Consider the following 17,543-nt stretch of genomic DNA (forward strand, 5'->3'; position numbering starts at 1 on the left):
GCGCATTCTTGGATCGGAAACAAGAAGGTCCGCCTTAAACACTTTCGCCTTTAAAATGTTTAGATGTCCTTCCAGGGCTGAGGGTGATTGCTCTGTTGAGTTAAGGGGGAATTTGAGGGGAGCAAATGCCTTCGCTGCCTATATTGCCTATGTGTAATTAAAACATAAATTCACTTTTGAAGTTATTGTTCTTTATAGCTGCTCAGCCTTAATTAAGAACCACAAAGCGATTTGACTGCTAATCCTGGTGCAGAATGAACAAAAGGAAGTGCACTCACTGTAATTGCTGGGCATAGCCTTGTCCCTGGGTAAAAAGGCTCTCCTTTACTGTCTTCCCTTTTGCTTTCATTCAAAGCAACTGTAGAAACACGTGTAAGTGATGTTTCAGAAATCAGGAAAGGGATGTGTAGAAAACTTCATGGCAGGGCAGTGGATTGAGGATGGACATATGTATCTGGAAGCACCAAAAATAATGTTCGGTCTAGCTAAGGTTTTCTTCATCATTGAGATACGTAAATAGGCAGAAAGTTTCATTATTGTGTTTAACAGAGGAATCTATGTGTGAGAAACACGTTTGACTTAACACTTCACTCCCCATTGCCTTGGAAGGCTTGATTATTACCAGTAGCTGGTACTAATGAACTTCCAGAGAGAACAGACTGCCTCAAGCCATTCTTCTGTCAAGGGAGGGTAATTTTGTAAGGCTAATATCACTTAGGGGTGTTGGAAAGGAACATGTTGTAGGCAAATGGTTCTTTTGATCATGATTTTGCTGCTCTCCGGTACACTAAACTTTATGTAAGTATCAGGATTCCAGAGAAAGAATTGGACTTAACAAAAAGTACTTTGAAAAGTGGGATTAAATTATTGTGTGTGGAATAAGTGTTAGAAAAGCAGAATTATTTAACATCTTATTTGCAGTTGAGTCATTAAACAAATGAAACATTTTGAAAATAATTTCATAAAATGATACTATGAGGTATCTGTTTTTCAGGGATTGAAGAAGTAAAGTGCACTGAGTTCAGTTTTTTAAAGGTGCCTTTCTGAAGACATAGCTAGTGACCGAGGATTTCCTAAGATCTGTGAGATTGCTCTTTATTTTCTCCTGTTATATTTTTTAAGTTGGCCAAAATTATTTTTGAAATGTGTATCTAAGTATTTCTGTTTAACTTTTGACTTGTTAAAGTTTCTGTGTTCAAGTTTGAATACTCTTGAAGTCTTATTTTTTTCATTTTCAGATTTTAAAATTTTCAAAGAAAAGGCGTTGCCTGATGTCTGAAATCTCAGATGCCTGAAATTCAATTGACAATTACTGAACAACAGTCTCTTATTTACATAAAGGTGGGGTTGTCAATCTTGGCTCTCAGAATTTTCTCTTGTAGGCACTGTGTAGCTAAAGGTTATTTAAGGTGATTTCAGAGGTAGATAGATTACTCAGTGATTACTACCCTGTTGCAAAGATAATGCGGTAGAGTAACCCAGTATCAGTTACGTTAGATTGCTCCCACTGGGAGGCAGATATGTTAACTTTGGGTCATGGTTGATTAAAAGGTCAAAAGAGATCTTAGAGTTTACCTCTAACATCACTTTTTACTATGAAATGTTTTATGCTTGGACTTGGTTTTGCTGAAATTTTCCTCAACTTTTGGTAATATTCTTGCTAAATGAAATTCATAAAACTATGAGTTTAAAACTTGTAAGTTAAAAGTTAAAGTATTTTCTTACAAGCATTGTGATTAACTGTAAAAATATGTACTTTAAACTTCTAGTTTAAACTAACTTGACTAGGATACTTGACTTGTTCTTGGATCAGAAATGACATCCTGGAAGAAATCATGCATAGTGGAGGAGGTGGGAAGGGGGAAAGGTTTGTGTGTAGTGAGGTTGAGGTTTCTCTTTCTGTCCTCCCCCCCCCTTTAATGACAAGGTTATATGTATACATGTATGTTTCGATCAACAATTTATGACAAGTAGGCAAGGTGTCATGTGTCACTGTGTGTTTTGATGTTTAGCATATTCACTCCCCAACTCCAGTTACTCCATGGGCTGTAGCTAACTAATTATTTCCCATGAATTAAAGTACCGTGACTGTTTTGTGCATCTATTAAATCTCCCTCCCAGTTCAAATTTCACATACCCTTAAACAAGTGATGCATATTGTGCTTTGCTATTACAGAGCATGTGAAGCTAGAAATGAGTAGTGTGAAAGAACTAGGTCTAGCCACCACTTTTCTAGCCTTTCTTTTGATGTTGAACTTTAAATACAGTAAACTTTAAAATAAGCAGTCAAATCATACATAAGAAATGTAAGTAGTTATGTAAGTGTTTTGGCACTGACTTTTTTAAATTATGAAAATGAAACATGACATTGTAAATTCAAACAGTAAGTGTAATGACAAGTGAGTTTCTTTATCACTAGCTGCTAAGCTCCATGCCCTAGAGACCACCCTTCACAATTTCTTACATTAATATGACCCTCTAGAAATTTTTCATGCATACACATGTGTATATAAAATTATAGGATCATTTTAACTGATACTTTTTGGGAGGCTGAGGCGTATTTTAACAGATGGCAAATACAAATCTGATTATTGTGCCTGTATCATCACTTGCTGTACAAAAGCCAGGAAAATCAGTGTTGATTCTGAAAACAGCGCTCTCTTAAGCACCATACACAGTCATCCAGGGTGCAGGGTGCAGTGCATCCTCGGATAAAAAGAGTTAAAGTTGCTATGGGAACCAGAATTGCACTTTCTGCTTGTTGTGGGGAGAAATCTCCACCAGCCACTTTTCTAAGAAGAAGTCTTTTTTGTTTCACCTTCAACTTCTGGATGGATTATTCAGTTGCTGTTAAAAAGTTTGGGTTTTATGTCTTATAAGTTATAGTAAGTTTTTATCAGTACCAGTGGGGTAGTAGTTGATACTAAGATTGTAGCTAAGGATTTGCCTTTTATCAAACAGCCCCATTAATTAATTTGATAATCATTGTGGATGGAAACTTGGCAGACAGGATCCTAATCTTGAGAAAGGTAGCTTTTCCTCTTTCTAAAAACAATTAGATTAAGGAAAAGAGTGCTTATAAAACCAACCCAATCAAAGTTTATGAAACTCCTAAAATTAACACTGAAACCAGATTAGTTTCCAAGCTCCTCATAAACTGTAGGAACCAATAGTGATTAAATGAAGCTTTTAAATCTGCATCTGCATATCTTTTTTGTGTGTTTAAGTTAGAATAATTGATATATAAGGCTATTGCCTTTTATTCTCTTTGGTCCTCTGCTGAGTGTGTATGTATTTAACATGGAACAAATGGCAATTTTTCCCCCCAGGAAAACCTTTGCAAGGTGGGTTCTGACTATGTCAGGGAATAGCTCACTGTGGTGACTTCACTGTGGTATTTGTGCACCCTGAGGGGACACTATTTTAGTTTGTCTCACAAAGGCCTGATTTACATTTTGCAGGTTTCAACTTGAGAAGTTAAGGAGCTCTTCCTTAATGGCCAGCAGTTGTTGAACACAGTTTTATAAAGTTGCTGTTGGCTGCTTTCCTGTTCTACAGTTCACTGCTTTTTCTCCAAATTCCTTCTCCATTCTAAGGGCATTCAAAAAAGAATTTACACATTAGGGGAGAAGTTGGAGCTATAAGGCATTCCTCCCCCCCCCCACCTCTTCCATTTGTCATTGGTCACATTTGTGGGAGGAATCAAGTTTTGACTATTTCAGTTCTAAATAATTTTAGAAAATTGGGTGTGCCTTTTGCTATGCACTCCTTCCTCCTGTGCATACATTCTCATGTTATTGCCGGATATTCTGCAAACATTTTAAAAAATACTCTTGAAATACATACCACTGTACCTGATAGAAAGATGTAGAAGATTGAGGGTCCTATCTTCAGAAGATTATACTTTGTTAGGAATTTACACACTCATAATGGCATTACAATAATAAATCAAGGGTGTCTATATAATATTTTACAGTTTATAAGGCCTCCAGTTTATCACTGATGAGATTTCTCACAACGCAAGGAAGGCAAAGATGCCTAAGGTTGTGATTTGCCTAAAGTCATGTGGGAGATAGGTCTTTGACTACCTAGTTGATTGCATTCGTTCTTGCAGCTTGCAGCTTCTCTAACGAGTCTCTCGAAAGAAAGTCTACTTTATTCTAAGCCACTTTTAAAATTTCATGTATACCCTGGTTCAGAGATACCAGACTCCTTTGGTTTTCCTTGTTTTTTCTTCTGCATACTTCTTTTTATTTATGTTCCTAGATTCCTCTCTTTTCATGCTGTTCACGCTTCGTGGATGAACTCGTGTTTGTCTCAAGGCTTTATTTGCAATTTCATTTGTAAATTTGTAAATTCTAAAGTTGTATTTCTAGTCAGCTCTTTTTCCAGATCTAAAATCTTGTTGGTTATGGTCAATTTGGGATGTCCAGAGACCATATTCAAAACTAAATTCACTCCTTGTTGTCTCACCCAACTCAAAGCTCTTTTGGTATTCCCTATCTCAGTGAACTACACTGCTGTCTAACACTGAGTTTCTCAACCGATGTTGCCCACGTCTCTCCTGAAAGAACCATGCTTGACAGGCTTCATGAGTAAAGACTACTCTGGTGAACAGATAGGATCCACTGCTGTGTGGTCGGTCGGTTCTGGGTAGCTATAACTTCACCCGTTTCTTTCCCACCAATCGTTACTATAATCTGTCCAAGACTCTACTCTTACCTTCTATATCCAGACACTATGTGTCTTGAATGCTTATCTTTCTCTCCGTCCTCTTTGTCTCTGCCTTACTGTAAGTTCCTTACTGTAAGTTCCCATTGCATTTCACCTGGATTGTTGCCACAGCCTCCAAATAAACTGGTGGGCTTTCTGCCTCCAGTTTTGCCCTTTATATTTGGGCAGCCATCCTTTGGACTGAGTGATGATTCTAAAATGCAAATCTGATCATACAATTTTGCAGCTAAAAATTCTGCAGTGGTTCCTCAAGGTTTTATGATAAAGTCCAAACTCCTTGGCGTGGTGTACAGGGTACTTAGGATCTGGACCTTTTTGTTGCTTCACGTGTTCACAGGGCTGTTCTTTGGTTTGGAACACTTCTCCCAGGTGTTAGGACTCCTTCCCCAGTTTCTCTCTCTCTCCCCTTTCTGCCCCACTCCCTGGCTTGGATTAAGTCTCCCACTGACGCCACCCTGTAGGTATTTATCACAGTCCCTATCACATAGGATTATCTGTTTCTTTACTTGTCTGTTTCTACCTTTAAACCATGAAGTTTTTGAAGGACGAGTCAGGGGTTTAGTAATCTTTTAGTTCAGTTAAAGATGACTAATATTGGTTAATTGCTTGTTATGTATTAGCAACAATGCAAATTCCTGGATGTGTAGTGATTCATGGGACATTGCCCTGACCTCATTCTTAGATGAGGTGTAGATGCAGAGACCCATGTCTCTCGATTTGGGGGTAGGCAAATGATGGCCTTCTTAGCCAAGTCCAGTCCAGTCCTGCCTATTTTTGTATGGGCTGTGAACTAAGAATGGTTTGTACATTTTTAATTGGTTAGAAAAAATCAGAAGAATAATATTTTGTGACATGTGAAAATTTCATGAAATTCAAATTTTAGTTACCCATAAAGTTTTGTTGGAGCACAGTTTAGCCCATGTAACAAAGCATTGTCTGTGGCTGTTTTTGCACAATAAGGGCAGAGTTGAGTAATAGCGACAGACTCCATATGTCCCAGCCCACAAAGGCTGAAGTATTTACTATCTGGCTCTCATAGCACAGGTTTGTTGACCTCTGTTCTAGAGCAGTACTTTCATGTTATATAGTAAGTCCTAAGTGAGAGATGCAAGCACAGAGAGGATTCACTTCACTGACTGTTTGGGTGGAGGCTGGAGGCATTCTGTCTCCAGTGACACTTGTCTGGCATAGTGTTCATAAAAATATATGTACAGTGAGTGAATAAATGAATGCCTGAATTATAAAACTCCCAGAACATTGAACATTAACTTAAATTCTTCAAAGCAAAACTTTTGAGCTTGTGTTTATTTTTTATCAGTGCCATCTCTCCATTTTATAAGATATATGTCACTGTAATAGCTAATATTAAATGTAGTATGTGGTTTTATTTCTGTAAATTTTTTAAAAAAGTACTAAGGTATGGAACTGGTATGGAATTGGAAAGGCCTATGACTGTCCTTTTTTGGGTAAAAATTAGACTGTTATGTGACTTGAAGGCAGCCTAGATAAATCTTAGGCGAAAACTCATGAATTCTCACATGTGAATATGTATTTCTGAAATGTTAATTTGTATTTTTTTCCTTTAAAAATGGACATAAGCAAATTTTATTTAAAGTATATATATTCTGTAGTTTCAGCTACTTGGGAGGCTGAGGCAGAGGGATCATTCGAGCTAAGAAGTTTGAGGCTGTAGTACACCATAATTGCGCCTGTTGAATACCCACTACACCCCAGCCTGGACGACGTAGACCCTATCTCAAAAATTAAATAAATAAAATGTATATATTCACATGTACATTGTTGAAATAGATTCTTAAAGGGAATTATTAAGCAGCTGAGGGGAAAGGTTACAATGAAATATTTGCTTGTTGTATATAGCATCCTTTTAAGTTTAGTGAAGTCATCATGAGTAGATTTAGAAGATAGGCATACTGTTTCTTTAGGATAGTGAAAGGACTGTAAATGTAGAGTACGGTATAGCCCAGTGTATTCCACATTAAAGTGGTTAGGCCGATGAGCAGTAACCACATATTCATCTAAAGTTAATAGGCAGCAGCAACAGTTGCTTCTTTTTTTTCTTTTTTTTTGGAGACGAGTTTCGCTCTTGTCGCCCAGGCTGGAGTGCAGTGGCACGATCTTGGCTCACTGCAACCTCTGCCTCCTGGGTTCAAGCTATTCTTCTGCCTCAGCCTCCCGAGTAGCTGGGATTACAGACATGTGCCACCACACCCAGCTAATTTTGTATTTTTAGTAGAGACAGGGTTTTACCATGTTGGTCAGGCTGGTTTTGAACTCCCGACCTCAGGTGATCTGCCCGTCGTGGCTGCCCAAAGTGCTGGGATTACAGGCATGAGCCACCACACCCGGCCCTGCTTCTTTACTTGTTCATTTTTCCTACTGGACTTTATTGACAGCTGTACCACTGTTCTGTTTGGGTTTTAGGGAAAGGTGTTAAAGTTTAGAGCAGAGCTGTTTGTTTATTTTTACTGCTGAAAATTTCTGAGAAGGTTTTTAAAAATATGGGATTAATGTTTCTTCAAGTTGTCAGCTTGAAAGTGTAAAATTTCAAGATGATTTTGTGCAGATCCTATTACTTTGCCTTGGTTGCTTGCTATAAGACTTGTTTAAGATAGAACTTGCCCTGTGGAGAAGAATAGAGTAGAATAAAATAATTTAAAAATAAGAAAAAAAAAGATTAAAGAAAAAAAAACACATATGTAAAAGGGCCCTGCTGGAATTTGCAAGCATCTCCTTTCTTGTGATATAAAGTTAGGTGTTTGCTCATTTGGGTCTAAAATTGACAGCTTGCTAATGGGGTTACCAGAAAACCCATTTATAGAAACATTCCTGAGATTTTAGAGTACTGCACCAGACTAGGGTGGCACTAATTAAGTATGTCTGCTTTTCTATGTGTGTGCTCTTCTAGGGGCCAGCCCGAAATACGTGGGCCCAGTCAGCCTGGTACAGCTACATATTCATGAAATAAAATAAAGCAGACTTCTCTCTTTCTTAGACAATGGCACCCTCAGATCTCTTGTGGGAGAAGAATCTTATGGTAAGGCTGGGAAATGAATAAGGGGATTTACCTTATTTCTTTTGAACTTTAGGAGTTACATTTCCTCAGTTCCCTTCTTTTACTCTTTGTTTCCATCTGTGTGTGGCCGCTTCCTCTTATATTGAGGGCAACATTAGATTCTTTTATTTTTAGATTTTTGTTATTTTATCTTTTTGTTTTGAAAGTTGGAGGAGATAGTAATTCAAAATCAGTCTTCTTCACATTGCTTGCTTTTTTTTTTATTTTTAAAGAGACAAAGTCTCACTCTGTTGCCTAAGCTGGAAGTGCAGCGGTGCAGTCAGAGCTCACTGCAGCCTTGACCTCCTAGGCTCAAGTGATCCTCTTGCCTTGGCCTCCCACAGTGCTGGGATTATAGGCATGAGTCACCATGCCTGGCCTCTTTTTTTTCTTTTTTTGAATTTGGTACGTGGCCTTATATAGAGTTAAGGACTCAGTAAATTTTGTTTCATGATGATAAATCACAGTACTGTGTATATATGAAAGTTTCTGCTAACCAGAATGATTGTTTGTGGCAGTGACTATACAGGTACCTGTCTGTTTTCAGAGACATGGTTAATGACCAGTCTCTTTTTTTTCCCATCTTCTTTAGAGTTCTGATTTTGTGTTCTATTCTTGAGCTGGGTGGAGCTCAAGAATAAATTTTACATATGTAAAATTTCAGAGCTATGCATTTAATATTTGTATACTTCATTATATGTAAATTATTCCTTGAATAAAAAAATGAATTAAGAAACTTTCAGCCAATTGTAGTACACTATAATATAGTTGATTTTGTTTGTTTTTCATATGATTTTTGGCTTAGGAGAGAACACAATGTGAGGCTTCATCATCTAAAATATATTTCTCTTAGTGTCTTTCTCCTCTGTACCAGAAGTTGCTGGCATTAATAGACATTAACAGATATTTGTTGAGTGATCAAATCAGTGAACTGGCTGGTTTTAATTGAGTTATGAGCCCATTTTCATTGAAGTACCTGCAGAGCCCTCTCATACAATCAAGCTTGGTAGACGCCTCAGGCAGTGGAGCATGGGAAACCTGGGGAAGAGCTGTCCTCTGTTCTCACCTCACTTTAAGCAGGTAGTGGTTTTGGTTGATGCTTCATCGTTTGATGTGGTAAAATGGTAAGTCTGTGGGTTTTGCTGCAGGTTTAGAGAATTCTTTAAGAATGTCTTTGTGTGGCATATGCTTTGGTCACAATATCTGGTGCTTAGGTAACTTGCTATTTAATTTCCATGGTGAAATGTAAATGTTCCACATATCACTTAAATAATGGGAAGACCCCATCTTCATTCATTTAAACATGGTCTAGGTAATGGCTTTCTCTTATTGAGCCTTTTAGAAATAAAAAGTCTGAAGTTTGAATCATGTGGCTTTCTTGGAGAAACTTTTATTTTTTTTTGAGACAGAGTCTCACTCTGTTGCCCAGGCTAGAGTGCAGTGGCGTGATCTTGGCTCACTGCAACCTCCACCTCCCAGGTTCAAGCGATTCTCCTGTCTCAGCCTCCCGAGTAGCTGGGATTACAGGCACACACACCACCATGCCCTGCTAGGTTTTTTGTATTTTTTTTAGTAGAGATCGGGTTTCACCATGTTGGCCAGGCTGGTCTCGAACTCCTGACCTCAGGTGATGCACCCTCCTTGGCCTCCCAAAGTGCTGGGATTACAGTCGTGAGCCACTGTGCCTGGCTGGAGAAACTTATAAAGCTATGAAATATTTCCAGTGATCTGAAAAGATCTACCCACTTAAAATGAGATGAGCTTATTGCATTTTGATTCTAATTAGTGGACAAAGGACTTATGTAAATAAGACTGCTGGGGAGAAAATGGTTCACTCAGACATTATAGTATGGGATGTGTGAGTTATGATAGATGTTGAAGATACTTTTTATATCCTAAAGATAGATTTATTCGTAATGTATTTGAGATCAGACAAAAACATTGACCTGTAGGCAAAATAATTCAGTTGAAACTTTTTTCTGAGATGGAGTCTCACTCTGTTGCCCAGGCTGGAGTGCAGTGGCATGATCTAAGCTCACTGCAACCTCCGCCTCCCGGGTTCAAGTGATTCTCCTGCCTCAGCCTCCTGAGTAGCTGGGACTCTACAGGTGCATGACACCATGCCCAGCTAATTTTTGTATTTTTAGTAGAGTCGGGGTTTTACCATGTTGATCAGGCTTGTCTCGAACTCCTGACCTCGTGATCTGCCCGCCTCGGCCTCCCAAAGTGCTGGGATTACAGGCGTGAGCCACCGCGCCCAGCCCAGTTGAAACTTTTTAAATTGTTAGGAGAATACCTACAGAGCATTTTGAAGAGTAGGGATTGAAGTCAGCCCGGAAAAGCTTCCCGGATCTTGAAGAAAAGTAATAGACATGAGTGTAGGGTGTTTCCAGGAAGGTTGAGTTGTTTGAATAAAGATCTAAAAGTAGTTAGATAATGGTGAAGGTATTATTTGCCATTCATGGAGCAATGAGGACGTGCCAGATGGATTCTGAGGAGAACTTGAAAGCTGGGTGACAAAAGAAACTAAATTACCTTTTGTCAAGTGCCTCCTGGTTACCTCTTTGAATTCTTCAGTCTTGAGAACTATTGTTAGCCCCGGGGAAGAATAATATGACTAGTGACTTTTCTGAGGTTGCGTAGGTTGAAATCCAGACCTGCTGTGGTACATAGATTATGTTTTTGCCACTCTGCCATTTTAGGTCAGACCTGCTGTAAGTGATAGTGAATTCTAGAAAGACCTCAAATTGAGGAGTAAAATGAGAGTGCTAAGGAACTAAGCATTGTTTCTCTGATAGACCACTGCTTTAGGATCTCTGGATTTCGACTGCTTCTGTTAAAAGGGCTTTACACTTAAGAACAGAGGATTTTTTTTTTAATTAAAAAAATATATATGTTTTAGACAGGGTCTTGCTCTGTCATCCAGGTTGGGGTGCAGTGGCACGATCCTATTTCATTGCAGCCTCAAACACCTGGGCTCAAACAAACCTCCCACCTCAGCCTCCTGAGTAGCTAGGACTACAGGCATATGCCACCATGCCTAGCTAATTTAATTTTTTTGTAGAGATGGGGTCTCTCTGTGTTGTCCAGACTGGACCCGAACTCCTGGCCTCGAGCAATCCTCCTGCCTTGGCCTCCCAAAGTGCTGGGGTTACAGGTGTAAGCCACCATGCCCAGCTGAGGATTGTTTTCAGTGGAAGAATTTTAGGTTTTGGGCATATGTACTAGTTGTATGATATTTAGCTGTTAATGCTTCTAGAAATTTCTAAGGAATTTATTGAATTTGAGAATGAGGTCCTGGATTTTGTCAGTGTCTGTTGATAGAAAAAATATGCTCTACCTGTGAAAAGAAAATTTCTACACGTTCTGAATTTATTATGCCAAGCGGAAAAGTTAGGCCCTGGAGACTGAGTCACATAACATGGCTGTTTTTCTTCTCTGGTGTGTGACTGTTGCTTAGGGACCTTTGTGTTGAGATGTTACCTGTAACCAGATACCCTATTCTTTATTCAAACCTAGACTAAATGCAGCTGGAGGTAGAGACCCCTGTGATTGTTACTGCTTTACAATGGAGTGTTAAGCAACCCCCTTAGAGTATAATAGTAACCAATCAAATCTTGTATCTCTATGTTAGCCTTATGCAGAAAATGTTGTAATCCTGTTCCACTCCCCTATTTTTCCTATATAAATGATTCTCACCTTTCCCAATGCTGGGGAGTGCTGACCACCATTCTTCAGTGTCCATGTTTCCTGGAAAACTACCCTCACACTTTGTGCTTGAATGAATTCTTTTTTTTTTTTTTTTTTTTAAGACAGCGTCTTGCTCTATCTCCCAGGCTGGAGTACAATGGCGCAATCTTGGCTCACTGCAACTTCCGCCTCCCGGCTTCAAGTGATTCTTCTGCCTCAGCCTCCCGAGTAGCTGGGATTACAGGCACTTGCCACTGTGCCCAGCTGATTTTTGGATTTTTTAGTAGAGATGGGGTTTCGCCATGTTAGCCAGGCTGGGCTCAAACTCCTGACTAGGTGAGCCATCTGCCTTGGCCTCCCAAAGTGCTGGGATTACTGGCGTGAGCCACCACGCCAGTCTTTTTTTTTTTTTTTTTTTTTTTGAGACAAGAGTTTCGCTCTGTCACCCAGGCTGGAGTGCAATGGCGTGATCTCGGCACACTGCTACCTCTGCCTCCTGGGTTCAAGCGATTCTCCTGCCTCAGCCTCCCAAGTAGCTGCGATTACAGGCATGTGCCACCACACCCAGCTAATTTTTGTATTTTTAGTAGAGATGGGAGTTCACCATGTTGGCCAGGCTCCGACCTCAAGTGATCCGCCCGCCTCGGCTTCCCAAAGTGCTGAGATTACAGACGTGAGCCACTGCGCACAGCTGAATGAATTCTTTTAACTGGATCCTCTGTAAAAAACACATTACGCTTATTTGTGAAGAACAAAGGATTGTTTTCTTTTTTTGTTTTGTTTTGTTTTGTTTTTTAGATGGTGTTTCACTCTTGTCGCCCAGGCTGGAGTGCAGTGGCACGATCTTGGCTCACTGCAACCTCTACCTCCTGGGTTCAAGCAATTCTTCTGTCTCAGCCTCCTGAGTAGCTGGAATTACAGGCACCCACCACCACGCCCGGCTAATTTTTGTATTTTTAGTAGAGATGGGGTTTTGCCATGTTGGTCAGGCTGGCCTCGAACTCCTGACCTCAGGTGATCCATCTGCCTTGGCCTCCCAAAGTGCTGGGATTACAGGCGTGAGCCACCGCACCTGGCCCCAAAGGATTGTTTTCAGTGGAAGACTTGTAGGTTTTGGGTACTTGAACTAGTTGCATGATATTCAGTTGTTAATGGTTCTAGGAATTTCTAAGGAATTTATTGAATTTCAGGATGAGGTCCTGGATTTTGTCAGTGTCTGACAGGAAAAGTGTACCCTACCTCATTTCCTGAGGGATGATCAGTGGCTTCATTTATACAGGGAATGCCACCATCTTATCTCCTTTCTGCCTTATCCATGACTTCTTTCTGGTTGTTGAGAATTGCTGAGTTAGTTCACTTGCTTACTTTATCTGACATTATTAAAGATAAGGCTGCCTGGTCTGTCTTCACATTCTAGTTCTTTCCTTCTCTGCTCCAAGTAAATTCTAACCCTTACATGGTATGTTTTGTTGTTAAAGTTTGCTAACTGAATAGGTCTAACCCACCTTTTGTTAATTGATGAATAGCTAGCTACTGTAGTCCCAGGAGCTTTCTTTGTCAGTATTAACATTATTCAGGTTCAGAAGTGATACTATTCACTTTGATGTCTGTGTATGTGAATTTGCAAATCTGTAAGTCTCTCTTTACCTCTTCCTCTCTCTCTTTCTGCCTCCCTCCTTTTCTCTTTAGTTTCCCCAGAGTGTTGCCGAGCTAAGGTTCAATCAGAGGACTCTTAGATACCTTAATTTTTTTTGGCTTTATTTTTGAAGAAAGGGATCATCGTTCCCATTAGGACATGTATTTACAATGTGTTTTCTTTTGCTTGCCCACCACACTCTACCACTACTTCTAGAACTTAAAATTCTAGGATTGTTTTTTTCTCCCTCATGCCCTATCCCCTTTTTAAAAAAAGTCAAAACTCTTATTATAGTAGAACTTCACAGGTTTGAAGTTGGCTGATTAAATATACTAAGTATTACTGAATCACTGCCCTGCCTTTTCTGCTTTCTTTACAGACCTGTTTAGTATACATTGTATGTATTTTTTTTTTTTTTTTGAGACAGAGTCTTGCTCTGTTGCCCAGGCTGGAGTGCAGTGGTGTGATCTCAGCTCACTGCAACCTCCGCCTCCCAGGTTCAAGCAATTGTCCTGCCTTAGCCTCCTGAGTAGCTGGGACTACACGCGTGGGCCACCATGCCTGGCTAATTTTTGTATTTTTAATAAAGATGGGGTTCTACCATGTTGGCCAGGCTGGTCTCGAACTCCTGACCTCAGGTGAGTCACCCACCTAAAGTCCTGGGGTTACAGGCGTGAGCCACTGCTCCTGGCCCACAGATGATTTTTAAATGCCCTTGCTCAGTTTCCTTTCTTACAGGGAGAGTGGGTGGCACCCTGTGCTACACCGGAGGGCTGAGTGTTGGGCTTAAAATGTCCTCAGTGTCCTCCCTTCTCTCTGCTGTTTTTTGTTTTGTTTTGTTTTTGGTCAGTTGGTAAACTATAAATGCATAAATGTTTTCTCAGGACTTTTCCATCAACTTTCTTCAGAGAGAATGAAGGGATAATGATTTCCAAGAAAAGAGTTTTGCAGTTTTTAGAAAGAGGGTAGTGACAGCATGATGAAATGAGCTGAACAGCTTTTTTTGAGTTTTCACTGGCAGGGACTGGGAAGTGATATTTTCCTGCCCTGGCATCACGAATCCCAATTAGAGGCAGGAATCTGCTGCCCACATGTTCTCAAAATCCTCGACCATTTTATTATCAAAAACTGTAAGGAATAAATAATTTGACAGTGTAAAATGGTTAGATCAAGATTTGGAGTTTAATAGACTCTTAGTTTTCTGGAATGTCCACAGAGACATCCGTGGACTCTGAAAAATATTTGGCTAACTAGAATAATAAAATCATAAAATTTTGGAGTTGAAAATTTAAGCTATAAAAAAAAAAGAAAAAAAGTTTTAGGGATAGGTCCTGGTTTAATTTATTTAATCTCTTACCAAATAATTTAAGGTAGGCGTAGTTGCCTTGGGTGAGCAGTTTTACCTGTAGACTCGTGCATCTGTGCTACCATTCTTCAGTGGTTCCCATCCATCATACCCCTATTATGATGGTGCTGGTGACATCATCTGTTTTGATGCCACTAAGTTTAAAGAATTTTTTCTAAAAAAATTCTGGATCATGATCTGATAGAGCTGAGCATGCCGGAATTTTCATTGAAATTGTGTTCTTTTGGAGGTGGGAATAAACAAGGGACTAAGGATAAAGATTGTGGTGGGGTCGGGGGAGGGTTAGAAACCAAAAGAGCAATTGTGTACTTGAATTGCTTTGGTCATGTGATTGCCCCTTCTTGGGTAAAGGGTCGTGATCAGTGGCCTTCAGTGTCTTGGATTAACTTTCGGAGCAGTCCATACATAGTTTTGAATTTGTGGTATTTTAGATAAGTTCATGGGATAGAAAGTCTATTGGAGACTATAAATTCTTAGAATTCTACAAATTATGAGCATTTGTGGGAACATCTGTAATGCAGCTGTAATAAAATTTGTTTATTATCAGGATTGCTTTAGAGGCTCTTGCTGGGTTGTTTATTATTGTTTTCAGCATTTTTGCCATACGCCCTGAAATAGCATCAACTCCTGGGTAGACTTCAGGATCATTCAGTTTTGTAGGCATTCTAATCAGGTTTGGGTTTTAAACATATGTCCACTTTAGAGCTTTTATGTCCTGGCACAGACGTCAATGGTGAATCCAGACCATTTCAAGATGGACACTGATTCTGGAATTAACATACTTCCCAGATGTTTGTAGTACAGATTTGTTTTCTGTGCTGTCTTTCATGTGTTCTGCTGTGTCTGTCTCTATCTGTGCTTTCCTCTGTTTTTACTTTTAGAACCCCTGGGGAAAGGTAGGTATCTGCTTTTTGGATTGGGAAATAGAATAGGTATTAAATTTTTGGTAAAAACCTTTGAGTGGGTATTGACATTTCTGTGAGAGGAGAGGCTGCTTTGTTCCCTCGAGGGAGACTGTTGGTGAGGGTGGTGTTGGAGGTGAGACTCTGAATGTAACTAGATTCGGACTTCTTCACATCTCTAGTGGTTTTCAATTATGAAATGGGCAACTGATGCTCTGAGTCAGCAGCCTTTTAACCATGCCTGACTGAAGAGAACTTGTGTTTGAAATTCACAGCATTGCCTGGATCCCTGCTGTCTTTTTGTGCCTCCCGCTAACACACAGCTGTTTTTGTTCATACATCATTTTGTGTTCAACTGCCTGGTTACTTCCTCAGGTCCCTTTTATGGTGAATAATGGACACATGGGAGTTTGAACACCCAAGTGTGTGGTTATTCAAACAGGAAGTCTCAAGGAAGCACAGTAACTTTGTCAGAGGAACAAAAGATGGGACAGGAAAGGCTATTGATGATTCTAGGCTTCAAACATCTGCTGGGAAATCTGACAATTTCTGAAATACAGATATTCCATAGCTTACAAACAAGTTGGTTTGTTTATTTGGAACTTGTTCCATTTTTTAAAAATCAGGGTATTAAATCTTCGTAAAATAGAAGTGGAGGGAAAAAAAAGGATATAATGTGGCATCATTAGTGTTAAAAAGAGGAGAGAGGCTCTGCCTGTGGCTTGACTGGGTTTCAGGAGAAAGGCTGGAGCAGCTCATCTTGACTGAAGGTAACCCTGAGGCTGTAACCCGGGGTGAGCACATAGGTGGGACTTGACAGAGGCTGCTAGAGCTGACAGAATTGGATTAAAAGATGATTTTATGCAGAGCTTTTGATGATTGAGCACTGGAGGAATATGAGATAAAGAAGAATGTAGGTTGCACTTAAAGAGCATGCAGTCCAGTGGGAGAGTAAGAATGTGTGTATCAACAAATTTTCTCTGAGACAAAACATGAAGTGCCGTGAGAGAAGGATAGAAATTCCATGTGATTGCAAAGGAGATATGACTATAGAAGATCAAAATAAATGCTTCCCAGAATGTTGATCTGGTGACCGTGAAGATTCCTTATGACCTTGGGATTCCTTGTTTATGTGATAAATGACTTACCAGAAATAGTCAAATAAATCCTGATTTTAGATTTAAAAATGAAAATTAAATCTGGAAGTCAAAGAAGGGGGAGCTCTGGTTTCATAGCAATTTATATTAAGCAAGTGGGGTGATGCAAATGCTACAGAAAAGAGTACTGTGTCAGGCTTAATTAATGGAAGTGATAGTATTCAAAGGAGTACAAGTTCTGTGCATCTTATTCCCCTGCCTTTAATTTCAGTCATGGTAAACTGTTCATAGTAAACATGCTCCCACCGTGTGGGTACTACTACATTTTTTTCTTGACTCTTTACTTTTCTGTTTTTTCCTTTGGCTACTTCCTAATCATCTTTAAAACTCCTGACAAATTTCAACTCCTCCAAGAAGATTTTGCTAATTTCTAATTCCTCTGTTCCCTCCAGAGCACTTGCCTTTATGTCATTTGATGTTTATACGTCCACTCACTTCTAAAATCCAGTAAGCATATTGCATACCTAGGATGTGAGGGGTGCTATATTGTATTGTTTTCTCTCTTTCCCCCATTAGCTGAGTTCATCAAAGACAAGACGAATCCATAGATTTCTTAATTCATTCATTTACAAAGATTTATTAAGCACCTGTTACACAAAAGGTACTGCATAGTACCGGAGACAGGGCAGAGAAGACCTAGAGCTTAAGTTCTGGGTAAAAAAGCATGCAGTACAAAGGACCTGACCTAGGGAGGATTTCATTGGCTTCCCCTCCACCACCCCACTGACTTTTATGCCCCTAGTGTACGGCATAATACCTTTTATATGGTAGTAGGGGTTCAAAAAAGTTTGCTGAATGAGTGAATTTCTATTTCTTTGAGGCTATGGACACAGAATGCAGATGAGTGCAAGAAACAGCAATTTTGTTTAGGTTTTCCCATGATGGAATTTGCCTTGTAGATAGGGTTTTTAAAATTGATCAGGCAGAATAGGATGGCTAGTACATGGTATAGTTTCCTCACCAGCATTGTTAGATGAAGAGTAAG

The 17,543-nt window shown here is 39.6% G+C and overlaps 1 protein-coding gene across 1 annotated transcript in view; it reads left to right on the forward strand.

Annotated features, from left to right (window-relative positions):
- Positions 1-17,543, forward strand: part of LAMC1 (laminin subunit gamma 1) — a 122,173-nt gene that overhangs the window by 1,081 nt on the left and 103,549 nt on the right. The gene's annotated exons all lie outside the window — the stretch shown is intronic.

Source organism: Homo sapiens, chromosome 1, assembly GCF_000001405.40.
Source record: "Homo sapiens chromosome 1, GRCh38.p14 Primary Assembly".
Lineage (NCBI taxonomy): Eukaryota > Metazoa > Chordata > Mammalia > Primates > Hominidae > Homo > Homo sapiens.